Source organism: Homo sapiens, chromosome 7, assembly GCF_000001405.40.
Source record: "Homo sapiens chromosome 7, GRCh38.p14 Primary Assembly".
Lineage (NCBI taxonomy): Eukaryota > Metazoa > Chordata > Mammalia > Primates > Hominidae > Homo > Homo sapiens.
Genome location: NC_000007.14, coordinates 53,403,631 through 53,420,336, shown reverse-complemented (window position 1 = coordinate 53,420,336; position 16,706 = coordinate 53,403,631). Strand labels below are relative to the sequence as shown.

At 36.4% G+C, this 16,706-nt stretch overlaps 1 long non-coding RNA gene across 1 annotated transcript in view; it reads left to right on the top strand.

Moving 5' to 3' along the window:
* The first annotated feature begins 1,430 nt into the window (after positions 1-1,430).
* LOC105375282 (uncharacterized) overlaps positions 1,431-16,706 on the top strand; it is a 70,883-nt gene continuing 55,607 nt past the window's right edge. Inside the window, exons 1-2 of the long non-coding RNA XR_927269.3 lie at positions 1,431-1,540; positions 3,922-4,012. This is a non-coding gene — a long non-coding RNA (uncharacterized LOC105375282). The remainder of the gene's footprint in view (positions 1,541-3,921; positions 4,013-16,706) is intronic.

Here is a 16,706-nt window from a genome sequence, read left to right as displayed (position 1 = left end):
GAACATTAAGGATTTGGGGTCAATTTTAGGAAGAAAGACATGAGTGGAGATATACTAGGGAATTTAACCAGTATAGAAGAAGGTGGACACCTGAATGTCAAGAAGGAAGTGTGAATCCCACCAATCTGTAGGAGAAGCCCTGGAAAAGTCTGAAATTGAAAAGAATGAGAGTTACTGAAAAATGAAATTGTCCAACTTATCTGAAGGATGTTTATGAGAACTATATTAGTCCATTCTCATGCTGCTCTGAAGAAATACCCAAGACTGGGTAATTTATAAAGAAAAGAGTTTAACTGACGCACAGTTCCACAGTGCTGGGGAAGCCTCAGGAAACTTACAATCATGGCAGAAGAAGAAGCAAACATGTCCTTCTTCACATGGCGGCAGCAAGGAGAAGTGCTGAGTAAAAGAGGAGAAAGACCCTTATAAAACCATCAGATCTCACAAGAACTCACTATCGCAAGAACAGCATGAGGGTAACCACCCCCATGATAAAATTACCTCCCACCGGGTCCCTCTCACAAAATGTAAGGATTATGAGAACTACAATTCAAGATGAGATTTGGGTGGGGCCACAGCCAAACCATATCAATAATCCTGCCCCATATTTGTATGAAGCAGTCAAATTTGTCTAAGGATTGAAAGCAAAGAAATACTCTTTAAAATAATTCACTTATCTGTGTGGAAGAGTACAGGGTTCTCAGCTTACAAGTTGATGCCAAGATTCCACATAATGTTGGCTTTTTGTTATTGTTATGAGTGCTCAAGGGTCCCTTTCTATAATTTTATTATTTTAACATTTCTTATTATCTTTTAATATATCTGCTATATATCTTAACTACTTCTAAATTAAAAGATGATTTAATATAGTATTATCTTTACTGAGAGTTTTGGTTAACCTATGTTTGCCTTCTTATTTCATAGTTTCATACCTCTGTAGACTGCAACTTCAGAAAGGATAGTGGTATTAACATGATAGGAGAGGTTATATCTACATGAACTAAACTGTCCCAAGTCCAGTTATCTGACCCTGATTTGGATAAACTCTTTGTAACTTATTGATTGCTGTCACAGGCAGCACTCAAAGCAGCAAGTGTTTTCTGGGGAAATGAATGTCAGAATAGGATTCTGTCCAGAAAAAAATATTTGGCGGATGTCTTATCAGTCACCACAGAGCTTGAAAGTTGGATTCAGGCTACTGAAGTGTAAGAGGAGTTTTATTTCAAGCAAAATGGAAATTTGAACAAAAATTCCTGCCTGGGGCAGCACATTTGACTTTGACCTGTAAGTTAATGTATCATTCAATTTCCATGAATTAGTCCCAAGAGGTAATGGACCAAAAAGATGGTTGGGCACTTGAAATTTAATCAGTTAATATTTCACAGGAAGTTACTGGGATGCATCCTGTCCAGACAAATTCTGGTTTATTTGCATTCATAGGAAACACCTAAGGACTTTTAAACCTCAAAGATGAGGGTGGGAACAACAGAGAAGAACCTATTATTGGGCCACCTATCAAGCAAAAAGAAAATACAGCAATGTAAGTTAAAGGTTATTTTTCTAAATTAATTTTTGAAATGGACTCAACAAGCTAGAGTTTATCATACTAGTGCTGCCAAATTGAAGACAACAACTTACTTTATGTACCTGAATAACCTTTTAGAGACTTGAAGTAGCAAAAGCCGTAGATCCAATTACTCTATGCATTGTGTTATTATAGGATTACAAAATTAAGAAAACATAAGCATGTTGACAGAAACAGACTAGAATCACAGTATAAAAGTGCCATAGATTTCTTGAGGATGTTTGACTATAAAAGACTTTAAAAATACATACTTAAACTCAAGCATGAAAGTAACTCACATTTCCGATGCTTAACTATTTTTTCCTTATAGAATCTATCCTTGTCTTAAATTTTTCTAAATCTCCTTTTATCTTTCCAAGCTTATCTGTATGAAAATCTTTCATTAAATGTAAACACAGATAGATACATGTAGCATTTATAGAAAAAATTCACACTTCCACTGTCATTAACTTGCTCCCTTTTAAAAAGGAGCTTAGAAGCTCCTTTTTAATGAATATGTGTTTGACTTCTAGACAATACTTTCTATGTAATTTGTGGGGCCCAGGGCAAAATGAAAAGCCAGGACACCAGCTGAGGAAGAGGACATTACCATCCCTTCCCAGAGCCTACCTTCCCAACCCATGGGGGACAGGTGCCACCCAAGGCATTACAACCTCCCTGTAACCTCTCTACCTGATGTGCTCAGTACCTAAATTGTGGGTGGGTGAGAGGCCATTGCAGAGTTGTCCAGCAAAGGCACCATGATCTTGTAAGCCAAAAATGGGATGGTCACTGATTTGATCAGCACAGAGCTGCCCCAATCCTCCCCTGAGTTCAAGTCCTCAGCAAGGAGCAGAGGGTGACAGCAGAATGTACTCATCCACATCCACACCCCTAAGACTTCTTGATAACTGTTTCAGTTGGGGGGTAGTTGTGGTTATGGAGCAGTGGCAGACGGAGGGAGCTCAGTGGGCAAGGAGACAGTGAGAGCTGGGACTGCGTGTGGCTGAAACACCAAACCCCTCATACGTGCATTATTGTTCTATCAGACATATCTTACAAAACGCAAATTCAATGATAAAACCATTAAGAATTTCAGAACAGCAGCCACAGAACATTAAGCCCCTAGCACAAGGCTCTATGTGACTGTATTAGTGGCATCCTATGAAGCAGGTCCTGCTTCTAAATTTATATTCCTCCTTACCTTAGAAACATTAAGATACCCTCAGAAACAATCCCCAGAGTATGAAGATCATAATCGAATCATGGTATCTCTGAGATGTCTTACTGCAAGCTTAACCACATGCTTGTTTTTATCCCTACTAATGCCATCAGACAGCCTCAGAGTTGGGGGATATGAATATTGGTGTAGACCAACAACAGGTGCTGATATCATTTCTCCTGCATGCAGATTAAGATCCCACCATTACCCCTGGCAAAATTGAATTCAGGTTTTGAATAATATACGTGAGTCTCAAACCTTTTCAAGTGTCTTCAAAGTGTTCACAATGCAGCACATTTTTGTGGAATCCTAATCAATCTCGCTGCATGAATGAATTGCCTGTACATGATTCCTCCATGGTCAGCATGCAGCCTTGGATGTGCGGGATTCCCATCCTCCTAAGTTCTGACATTCTATGTCTAGACATTTCTGACTTTTAGAATGTCTTCAGGGTTCTCAAATGATTTTTTCTTCTTTATAACTTCTGCTTTCTAATCACGATGCTACACTGCAAAACCATAAGTTATTGAAGTATTTAAGAAGAGTAAAATGTCTCCTTTATATTAACATGTTCTATATTTACTATCTGAGAAAAAAACAGTTAATTTATTTTACTAACAATTATTGGGTATCTTCTCTTTATCAATTTGTAAAAATAAAAATTATATACAAGAGGTACTTATCTCGATTTCAGTGAAATTAATAATATTGTCAGTTAGACAATTCTTCAAACAAAACAAGTAGGATAAATGGAGCCTGGATGGGGTACCAGGAGCTAGAGAAACAGAGTGGGAAGAAGTGTCAAATCCATGCATATGTAAATGCTACTCAGGGAAAAATGTCTGATTGTGACCCAGAGTGACCTAGAAGAGGTCAGAGGAGGAGACAGATATAACTGTAAAAATCAATTCCAAGAGCAAATGAAAACATGACTTACCTAAAAACTAAACAGATATTCTGGTCTATCTGGGCAATTTAAGCAGAGGATAAAGTGATTGGAGAAAACCTATGAAATAAAATGAAGCTGGACCTTGTAGATCATTATAAAACATTTCAACAAGTATGAATTTGACTTGAAGGTTAAAGAAAATCATTAAAGTGTCTTAAAACTAACCTGCTCATGTTTTGATTCGAGAGAGATCACACTGGATGCATGGTGAACTGTGGCAGATGGAGAAATGGTTGGAAGCCATGGGACGAATGCCTAGAGTTTTGAAGGAATGTAGGTAAGATATAGTAGGACCTGTTCCTAAGGAAGAGCTGAGGGGAGCAAATAAAGTGAAGGGAGATAAGCATTTTTAAGATGCATAAATTTCAGGGCATGTTGGTGCTTGTGAAAAATAGAAGGGAAGAATTAAAGACAGTAAATATCCCTGATGCTAATTTGGGCTAATCTGTAGATTGTGATGCCTTTTGTTAAAATAAGGAATCTCAGAAGAGTAGAGTTTAAGGAGAAGGTGAGCTCAATTTTGAACAGGTTAAGGTGGATGTGAGTCATCCAAATATGAAAGTCTTCTAGGCAGCTGTGACACATAGGCCAGAAGCTCCAGGGAGACAGTGGCTGTAAATATGTATTGGTGTGGGGGGAATTACTTACCGATGGTAATTGAAGCTGAAGACATTGGAGACACCGATTAAGGAGAAAACCAGTAAGAAAAGAAAAGGGCATTTGCCAGAGAGTGGAGGAACTGCTAAAATTTAAGGGACAAGTTGAAGAGAGTGGTGAAAAGAAGTTAACACCAAAAATGTGTTGCAGCAAGAGCTGGGGCTTCAGTCCACTTAGAAAGGTGTTAAATCCAGTCTAAAGAGAGAAAGGATTAGTCTTGCATAAGAGATACGTCTATCAGTAACATAGGAGAAGGAGACATTTAAACATGCATTTGTAGGTGATAATGTAGTTTTGGAAGCGTGTGTGTGTGTGCGTGCACGTGTGTGTGTGTGTGAGACAGGGTCTCCAGGCTGGAAGCTGGAGTGCAGTGGCACAATCATGGCTCACTGCAACCTTGACTTCCCTCGGCTAAAGCAATTTTCTTGCCTCAAGCTCCAAGTAGCTGGGACCACAGATGAGCACCACCACCTCCAGCTAATTTTTGTATTTTTTGTGAAGATGGGGTTTCTCCATTTTGCCCAGGCTGGTCTTGAACTCCTGGGCTCAAGTGATCCACCCGCCTCAGGCTCCCAGAGTGCTAGAATTATAGGTGTGAACCACCACGCCTGGCCTAGTTTTAAAAGCTTTTGCCTAAACATTCTGCTTTCATTGCAGAGAAATGAAGGTGATTGCTAAGAATAAAGAGGAAATGTTTGAATATGAGGAATATAGAAGGTGTGTAGCACAGGGAGAAGACAGGAAGAAAACTGACTCCCAAAATAAAGGTTATTGAGTAATGGAGTAGCCCAGCTGAAATTGTCATCATAAATTTATAGTTGCATAAGTGTAGGCTTTTAAGTGAAATTCTCCCCCAAAAAATCAGTATCTTTGAGGAATACAGTCATATGAACCACAATGGAAGTTTTGTCAACTCTCTGCAGGAAAATGATCAAAGGTCTTAAGTTAAAGAAAAAGATGAATCAGGCCGGGCGCGGTGGCTCACGCCTGTAATCCCAGCACTTTGGGAGGCCGAGACGGGCGGATCACGAGGTCAGGAGATCGAGACCATCCTGGCTAACACGGTGAAACCCCGTCTCTACTAAAAATACAAAAATTAGCCGGGCATGGTGGCGCGCGCCTGTAGTCCCAGCTACACGGGAGGCTGAGGCAGGAGAATGGCGTGAACCCGGGAGGCGGAGCTTGCAGTGAGTCGAGATCGCGCCACTGCACTCCAGCCTGGGCGACAGAGCGAAACTCCGTCTCAAAAAAAAAAAAAAAAAGAAAAAGATGAATCAGAAGTTTGGAATCTCCGTAATTATTTGAATGGGGCAAAAAAATGAAACTATATATCTATATGTATATCTATCTATATCATGCTGTGCTAAGATTAGAGAATCAGACTTTTATTTTTATTTGAGAATCAGAACGGTTCTGGTGAGTAAGAGATGTTGGGGGTATCCATGGTAGTGAGCAATTAAGGTGGAGTGCTGGTAATTAGGATGCTAGGGTTTCAGGGGAAATTGATTATTGGGGAATAAACAATTGTTTCTATAGTCATTCACCAATGAGGTGATATAGCAGCATGATCTGATTTTTTAATTAACAATATTCCTCTGTTTGTGGTGCTGAGGATAGATTGAAAGAGGTGAACAGATAGACAAATCCTCCCCCTGAGGGCTCCGTCTTAACTGGAGTAAGAAATGTTCAACCACCAATAACAAGAGAGAAGCTGGAATATGTGGGAACCCATCTAAGAAAATATAAGAAACAGCAATTTCCCAGTGAAATAGAAAGTAAGGGTTTCAACTGAGTATGAATGGGTGAAGCAGTCTTGTAGGTTAGAGAAAAATAGAAAAGATATAAAGTTTTGAGAAAGGGGTAGAGAAAGGTAGAACAATTGCTGGAGAGAATGAATGACTCCACTCAACGCAGGGACTGGGAACTGAAAAGGGTAGCTTTCAGCATTTTTCTTTAGTCACAGTAGCTTCCGGGGCACAGGAAATAAGGTTGTCAAGGTAGGAATTTAACCAGCATTTTTATTGTCCTTTCAAGGGGTAAAGGTAGTCTTGATCACGAGCAAGGGAAAGGGTATAAGGAATGACCAGCTAATTTAAACTGGATAAACTAAGTGGAACATACAGAATAAATGGGGTTGTTGTTAGTAAATTGTGGCAAGATTAGTACATCGAGGACTATGTATTTGGAGCCAAACTTTTGATAGATTTTCAGTACGTGAGAAGGTGATATGAAAAGGCAGGATTCACTAGGAAGACCATGAAATTTTAGGAATAATATTCGGGGAGGGGGACTTGAGTAGGTAATGATAAAGTCTCAGAGTATAACTGTTGGAATGTGTGGCTGAAGCAGGGAGGAAGACAAGTTCGTTGGAGATGAGCTGAAGAACCTGGTAGGCTAGACCTCAAAATAATCCATCTGTACAGATAGATAGATGATCAGCTGAGCACTGTGACTGGCATAATTTTAAAGAAAATAAGAGTGAGCCAGAAGGGGAAAACTCTTCTCTATGTTCATTTGAAAGCTGTGGAACTTTGAGTAACGTATCCAGTTCTTAGAAATTACATATTTGAGGATTGACAATTTGATTTAGAATGGAGTATGTTGGTTACTACAGGCCCAAATCACATACTTTCCAACTCTAAGATGCATTCTCATTTACTGAGAACTCTGAGATTGAGACAGTGCACTCTCTAAATGTGAGATGCTAATCAGATGTGACTACCTATTGATTGTGTGTTACTGCTGTGCACTGAAAGTGCACGATTATAAAGAGACTGGCTGCTCATGTTGCTTGGAATTTCTTTCTGCACCAAAGACTATAAATTAATTGTGTCTGATTAGTTGAGAAATCCATTAAATGAATTATTGCCAATGCAAACTAAGTTTCTAGAGGTCAGCTTCAAATTAGCATCAAATACTACATGCATTTTATTTCATCAGTAAAACATAAACACCTGGAATGAAAGAACTCTTGACCCAAACACTCAATAAGGATGTAAAAGTTTGACCCAAGTTCTACTTAATAGGAGATGTGTTTCAAGATTTCTAATTTAAAGCTAAAAGTAACCAACACATCAACTTAAATATGATAATTCAGAGATATCACAGATTACAAAAATATTGGAAATATAGAATTCAGAAAACTAGTTTCCTATCTGAAAATATTATGAAAATGTATGTCAAAGGAAAGAAGCAATAAGTGTTTGAGGTGATGGATATGCCAATTGCCCTGAATTGATCAATATTGATTGCATACATCTATTGAAATATAATACTGTGCCTTATCATTATGTATAATTATTATGTCAATTAAAAATAATAATACAAAAAGACTGATTTTTATTCTATAAAAGTTGGTTGTGTCAAAGACTTAGAAATATAATTGAAAAAAGATATGAAAAATAGAAAACAATAATGTCCAAAAATTAACATGATTATAAATAAAGAGATTTAAATTTATTCTATTTGTATTTATTTCCTTTTAATATTATTATTCTTTCAATAGTTTTGGGGGAACAGGTGGTGTTTGGTTATATGCATAAGTTCTTTAGGTGTGATTTCTGAGATTTTGGTGCACCCATCACCCAAGCAGTGTACACTGTACCCAATTTGTTGTCTTTTATCCCTCAACCCTGAAGTCCCCATAATCCATTATATCATTCTTATGTCTTTGCATCCTCATAGCTTAGCTCCCACTTACAAGTGAGAATATACAATGTTTGGTTTTCCATTCCTGAGTTACTTCATTTAGAATAATGGTGTCCAACTCCATCCAGGTTGCTGTGAATGCCATTATTTCATTTCTTTTTATGACTGAGTAACATTCCATGGTATATCAAGCCACATGTAGAAGAATGAAACTAGATTTTCATATCTCGCCTTATACAAAAATCAACTCAAGATGTATCAAAGGCTTAAATCTAAGACCGGAAACCATAAAAATTCCATATGATAACATCAGAAAAATTCCTGCAAAGAGTTCATGACCACGAACCCAAAAGCAATGCAACAAAAATAAATAGATAGGACCTAATTAAACTAAAAAACTCTGCACAACAAAAGAAATAATCAGCAAACAGTCAAACCACAGAATAAGAGGAAATATTCATAAACTATGCATCTGACAAAGGACGAATATCCAGAATCTACAAGGAACTTAAACAAATCAGCAAGATAAAAGCAAATAATTCCATCAAGGGTGCGTTGGCTCACGCCTGTAATCCCGGCACTTTGGGAGGCCGAGGCGGGCAGATCACGAGGTCAGGAGATCGAAACCATCCTGGCTAACATGGTGAAACCTCGTCTCTACTAAAAATACAAAAAAATTAGCCAGGCATGGTAGCGGGCGCCTGTAGTCCCAGCTACTTGGGAGGCTGAGGCAGGAGAATGGCGTGAACCTGGGAGGCGGAGCTTGCAGTGAGCCGAGATCGTGCCACTGCACTCCAGCCTGGGCGAGAGCGAGACTCCGTCTCAAAACAACAACAACAAAAAAAAGTGGGTAAAGGAAATGAGTGAACAATTCTCCAGAGAAAATATACAAATGGCCAATAAACATATGCAAAAGTTATCACTAATTATCAGGGAAATGCAAATTAAAACCACAATGAGATACTACCTTACTCCTGCATGAATTCCCATAATTAAAAAGTCAAAAAATAATAGATGTTGGCATGCATGTGGTAAAAAGGGAACACTTTCACACTGCTGGTGGGAATGTAAGCTAGTACAACCACTATGAAAAAACAGTATGGAGATTCCTTAAAGAACTAAAAGTGGAACTACCGTTTGATCCAGCAATGCCATTACTGGGCATCTACCCAGAGAAAAATACGTTATTATATGAAAAAGATACTTGCAGACGCATGTTTATAGCAGCACAATTTGCAATTGTAAAAGTACAGAACCAGCCTAGATCTAAGTTTAATATTAATAATATTATTATCAAATTGGCAAAAAGTTTTAGAGACAGGATCTTATGCAGCTTTCATCTGGTGCATGGGTATTGTTATCTCACTCACTAGGCAACAAAGCAAATTAAGTTTCATTTAGAAAACAATAATATAATATTTACTATAAGTAAATACTGGAACACTAAAAAATAAGTAAAGTTGAGGAAATTGAAAACACATGTCAAGGGAAATAAACACAGATAAATACATAGAGATAAATGTCTATATTTCATATACTTTCATAATTTTTGTTTCATATCTAAATCTAATATATACTCAATATAGAAAAGTTGTAAAATTAAAAATGGTCTTGAAAAATGTGTGTATGATCACTCAAAGGTCACTACAATTTTTATCTAAATGCATTTTACTGACACTTGTGGCCATTCTCATTGTTATGGCTGAGATAAAAGTGCACGTGTACTCACCTATCCTGCTGTATCCATTTAATATACAATTACAAAGAGAAAGTATATATATGTATTCAATATATGCACACACATGTGCACATACATACATGTAAATGTGCATGAAAAACAGATTTCTAGGCAGACATTTAAAAAGAATTATGTGTCTGGCATAGTGGTACATGCCTGTAGCCCCAGGTGCTCAGGAGGCTGAGGCAGGAGAATTGCTTGAGCCCAGAAGTTTAAAGCTATAGCACACTATGATCTCCAAGTGAATAGCTACTGTATTCCAGCCTGAGCAACACAGTGAGAACCCATCTCTAAAATAGAAATAAATAAAATAAATTACTTTTAAAACAGTTATAAAGAATACATTGGATTTTGACAATGATACATTGCAGAGAAAAAATTCATGAGTATGTATACATTATTTTAATAATAAAAATACAAATTACAATGTTCAACTAGGTTCACCATGACAAGTATGCTGTCCTTGAAGAAAATAGGAAATGAAACCTGATTGACTAAATTTGAAAATAAATGGAATACAAAAGTAAGGCAAAAGACACTACATAGGCATTGTATTTCCAATGATAAAGTTATTTCCAGGTCTATGGTTAGCAATTTTATTATTCCAATAAGTATATCCTGGAATTTCACAATGAAGTTAATAGATGGCAAATAATGGTGTGAGGTTTCTCATTGTTGGAGAAGGATTTCATAGATAAGAAGCGAATGGAGATTAGAATGATCCTAGTGATAATCAATTAATTAGAATTGAAGACATCAGTATGAATTTATACTTAGTCAAATATAGATACAGGTATTTACATACAAACATATTTATAGGTACATGTAAATGTGCAGGTTAGTGTACACTCAAACATTTTTTTTGCTCTGTCACCTGAGAGGGCTTAGAAGTTATGAAACCTAGGCAATGATGAGCTTATGCACCTAGGTCTCAGATCTAAAACCATTCTCCAATAAACAGAAATCAGCGTCCTCGGAGAAATGGTAGATTCTAGGGCTGAACAAGAAATATACAAGATAAGCCTGGAGCAGCCTATTGTGGCAGGAAGTAAGGAAGTGAAGAAGTGCTGGGTACACACACACACACACGTACACACAATAACGGAATATGTCAAATGCACCCAAGAGCCCACTAAAAGTCCTAATTGTCAAAGCTGAAGCAACCCAAGCAACAACATGAAAAAAGTGCTAATGGATTATTACTAAAGTTTGAAATAAATATTCATGAATTCACCCTGACAGAAATGGAACATTGAATAAAGTTTGAAAATGGGGAAAAAAATGAATCTCCCATGCAGAATAATTTTAAGTAATTTGTTTGGATACTTCATCTCAAGAAGGTGAAGCATAACTCTCCACTCCTTAAGTTCAGGCTGTGCAGATTGACTTCCTTCCAAAGAGTATACCGTGCAAAAGCAGGTGGATTTTGGTGGAAAACAGGGCAAACATTATCTTTGCCGTGTGATCAAGCTCCATATCAACCATGAAAGTCACGTTGATAATTTGTGTATCTTTGATATCATATGATAAAAATTGTACTTAATCTGTTATCTTCCTCCCCAAAACACATGACTAAATGGAATGTGGTATCCCAAAATAGAAAAAAAAGGGGATAAAAAGGAAGGAAATCCCAATACAGAATGAATTTTAGTTACTAATGTATGAATTAAAAAAAGTAATGAATGTCCAATACTAATGTACTTTCTTCATAATAGAGGGAACTGGGTGCAAGTTATAGGGAAACTCTATACTTTCTTTGCAAATATTCTGTAAATCTAAAACTATTCTCAAAGTTTATTAAAATCTTGATTACCTACTTACCCATCTCAAAAAGTAAAAAAATAAATTAAAAACAAATAATAAATGTAAGAGCAAAAACTGGGATTAAACAAGTATAATATAGAAAGTCACTATGTCCTGGATTTGTCTTTTGAAATAATAGGGAAATGGGAATACTTATGGTGAAATTAGACAAATAACTAAACAAACAGAAAAAAACAATAATAAAAATAATAATGGGGACATAATCACAGACCATGTAGATATTCTGTAAATCATAAAAGTACAATGAACTACTTCACGTCAATAAACTTCAAAGATCACACAAATAGAAAAACAAACAAAAGACAATTCTTAAGGTTGTTCCAAAACTGGTTAAAAAAAAAAAAAAGAAAAAAGAAAAACAAATTTTAAGGAACCAAGTGATACCAAGGTAAGATAACAATGTAGAAAATATCATTAGGAACACATATTCAAGCTGTTGAAAAATATAAAATGAGAAAAATCTTGACAAGGACAAAAAATCTAAATGAAATGACAATAGTATCAACAGCTCACTTCTCAAAAAAGAATGTTGGAAACAAGAATACATCGAATAATATCTTTAATGGTGATAAGTAAACTGTTAAGTTAGAGTCAATGTCCAGTAAAAACACCTCCCCCTTAAACTAACTAAAAACACATATTATAAAAATTAAAATATTTTTCAGATATTGGACATTTGGCAACTCTAGACAGTGATCCTTGAGATAAAGGGAAGAGACTGAGCTAAGATTTTCCCAGCTAACTTCTGGGAGAGTTTCAGGTCACTGACCAGTAAGAACACAATCAAGTAGAGGCTGGTAGTCTCCCAGAATTGAAAGAATGGAGCCAGGAGGCCAGGAAAGTCAAGACAGCTACAATTCACAGGTTAATACCAGAGAGGGGTGAATTGCACAGTGGTCAAGCTTCAGAGCTCTGGAGGGGCCCCATGGGCATCTAACCATGGGACAGATCAATGCATGTGCTGGCTTCCTGAGACTAGGGAAGGAACCACTCACAAGGAGGCAGAAGGAACACATTTGGGAGCTCACACAAATGTTATTGGTACTCCCTCAGCATCATGGAAAGCTTTGTAAATAAAGCACACTCAGATAGATGCTCAGAAGTGTATGGCCTTGAGATTGGTGAAAAATTATCCCTAGATGAAAGGTATCCCTTGTTCTGCCTAAATAGCTCCCAACAACTAAAATCCACAAGATCTGTAAACTGATTTAAAAATAAAGTCACTCAATAATGGCATAAAATATGACTCAGAATAAGAAGAAAAGTCAATCAACAGAAGCAGATGCAGAATGACACAAATGATAGGAATAACAGAAAATGACTTTAAATATTTTGTATAATTTAATCCATACCTTCAAGAAGATAAAGATTGGGCATCTTAAGTAAAGATATGGGAAATATTTTAAAAGACCCTATATGGAAATTTTAGAAGTAAACAAATACAATAGCTGAGATGAAAAGTAAACTGCAGAAGAAAAATATGTACAAATATGAAGTCCTCACATCAGTGAGCTGTGCGAAAACTTCAAGTGGCCTAATAAATGTGCCATTGGAGTCCTTAAAGAAGAGTCATAGAAAAAATATTTGAAGAATAATTACCATTTAAAAAGGAATTGAGGTCAGGTGCAGTGGCTCACATCTGTAATCCCAGTGCTTTGGGTGACTGAGGCGGGAGGATCACTTGAGGTCGAGTTTGAGACCAGCCTGAGCAACACAGAGAGACCTCATCCTTACAAAAAAAATTTTTAAAAATAAGCTGCATTCATGCCTGTAGTACCAGTTACTCAGGAGGCTGAAGCTGGAGGATTATTTGAGCCCTGGAGTTTGAGGTAAGAGTGAGCTCTTATCTTGCAACTGCACCACAGCCCAGGTGACAGAGTGAAATCATGTCTCTTAAAAAACAAACAAACAAAAAACTTTTGAAAATTATGAACCCACAGATTCCAGATTCCAGAAGTTCCATGAACATCAGGCAAAAGAAACTACACCAAGTGATACTGTACTCAAAATTCTTAAAACTATCGACAAAAAGAAAACTAAAAATCAGTCATATTTGAGAGAAGAAAAGACAAATTCATTGTGTATTAGCAAACATATTTCTCATCAAAAAAAATACGTAAACCAGAAAGATTATTGGTAGTGGTTTAGGTATATTATAGGTAAACTAGGAAGAGTAAAATCTTTAACAAAGTGAAAGAAGGATCAAAAGCACCCTATAATTGCATACAATAAAGTGTAATACTTTGTTGACTATCTTTCAGAAACAGGCAAAAATAAGGACTATTTTGCTTCACAGAAGCTGAAAGACATCATCAACAGCAAACCCACACTATAAGAAACTAAAGGAAGTCTTTGGGGGGAAGGAAAAATGTAATAGACATAAACCTAGATCTACAAAAAGAATAATGAACCCAAAAATGGAACATGGGCAGGTGACATAATATTATTTGAAGGCTGATTGTTGTAGACTAAAGCTATATATTATAAACCATAAGATAATCACTGTCTTAGGCCATCTGTGCCACTATAAAGACATTCCAGATTGGGTGATTTATAAATGGTAGGAATTCATTTCTCACAGTTCTGGAGCTGGGAAGTCCATGGTCAAGGTGCCTGCCGGTTCAGTGTTCTGTGACGGCTGCCTTCTGATTTTAAGATACTGCATTACTGCTGTACCCTCTGGACAGGGGGAGCACTGTGTCATAACATGGCAGAAAGGAGGGATGGGCAGAAAGGGCAAATGCTTCTTCCCTCCAGCCCTTTTATAAGACTGCTAATCCCATTCATGAAGGCTTTGCCCTCATAATCTAATCAGCTCCCAAAGGCCTTACTTCTTAATACAATCACAATGGCAATTAAATTTCAACAAATGAATTTTAGGGAACATATTTGGACGATATCAATTACTAAGTAAACAAGAAGGAGTTCAGCTAATATGTTTTGAAGAAGATAAAATGAAAATTAAAACTACTCAATTTTTTATTAAATCTACAAAATTCCATAGGCTTCTTTCCTAATTTGTGCAGCACTACTCATAGTATATAGGTTCGGACATAACTGAAATGTTCATCGACAGCAGATTTGTGGAATAAGCCCCCAACTGGGCCTATTAAACAGCTCTGAAATGCTAAGAAGAAACTATACACTGTTTTGGATTGAACTCAACAAATAAAAGCAAATTGGACAGAAATGTGCAGGTTATGTTACTTTTCATCGAAAAACTAAAGAATATAAGCATATACATACACGTTCATATTTAAACATGGAAGAATCAACCAAAATATTTTGAACAGTTATGAAAAGAGGAAGGGAACAGTATTGAGCAGTAAGGAACAGAAGTTCATCCTTTTCTAACATACCTTATTGAAATATAAAAAAATACATATTTTTAAATCAAGCTATTAAAAACAAGTAAAAAGTGAACTAAAAATGAACTAAAGTGTATCTATTGGTGACAAAACCTTGCAGAGTGGAACTATTCCAAGTACTTTTAAAATGCAACACACGAAACGACAACTCAAACACTATGCAAGCTGAAAATAAAAGTACTATGAGAAAATCTAAAATTACCTCCTTTCAGTGATCATATTGGTGGTGGCACTTTTCATATAGTTGTTTTAATATTCTTAGATATAGGATAGATAATTATGTTGTGAACCAGAATTTTCAGTAGAGAGTGGAATTTATCAATCTAAGTTTGATACTGGAAAAGTAAATGTATGTTAACAGTCAATGGTGATGTATTTGGAAGTATCTATTTCATCTTATGTTGCGATTTTCAAATGTTCTTATTTTATCTTCATTTTTCTTATCTTTACATCTTTTTATTTATTAGTGACTTTAAAATATATTGTTCTATTTCTCAAAATGGTTTTCTTCCTTAAGATTAGAAGCTATCCGTCTTATATATGGCCAGTGAATGGTTGCTTTAGAATTTTTGCATGCCTTTTTAACATGACAAGTTATTGAATTCCTAATTTTTCTCTTTCTTAATCCCTTATACAATAAATACTTTCTCATTTCTAATCTTATAAGTTGTTATTGTTCAAACTGTAATTTTTATCTTGTTTTATACTAGCCAAATAAGGCCTTATTGATATCATTTTATTCAAAGATTTTATTAAATGTTATGCTTTCGGAATTCAGATTTTATATGTCTGAATTGTATTGATCATGATGTGACAAGAAATACTGTACACACAGGCTTGTTCCTCAACAATAATATTTTGGTTATAGTCTACTGAAAATAATGATACCAATTGACCAAGTCTCTTTAAACCAGCTGTGCCCAGGGTGTTCCATTGGGAGCCACATATTGTCTCATTTAGTAAGAAACAGGGCAGAAGCCCAGGCAAACTATTATATAAATGATAATTAGAGAGGCAAGAGTTATAGACCTTTACTATGAAATGTGAGTGAGGTGCAAATAGGGTATCACTAATTAGCAACAACTTATTTAATCATCAAAACAGCCCACATATATATAATATATAATATATATATATATATTTTTTTTTTCCTATTTTTTCCAAGGACGCCCAGGCCCTAGTCTGCATGGGCTACCATCACAAAGTACTACCTAGGTGTCTTAGACAACAGAATTATACCTTCTCACAGTCCCAGAGGCTGGAAGTTTGAGGTCAACGTGCTGGCCGGGTTGGTTCTTGGGAGGCCTCTCTTCTGGACTTGCAGATGGCCACCTTCTTCCTGTTTACTCACATGGTCTTCCCTCTGTGTGTGTCTGTGTCCTTATCTCTTCTTATAAGGACACTAGTTGTATTGAATTAGGGCCTGCCCAAAGACTTCATTTTAAAGTAATCACTTCTTTAAGTACTCCATCTCCAAATACAGTCATATTATAAGGTACTGGGCATTAGAACTTCCACATATGAATTTTGTTGACACAGTTCAGCTGACATCAACTCATCTCAGGCTTATTGAAATAAGTAGCTTTCTAAAGTTGGACAAGCCTCAATAAACTAGGTAGCCAGAATTCAAACCAAGCCCTGTCATCAGAACCCATGTACGTGTGATGAAAACTACCTACCAGTCAGGACTCTAAAATCTTAGAAAATCATTAGAAGTAAGCAGGTAGGATAGTATC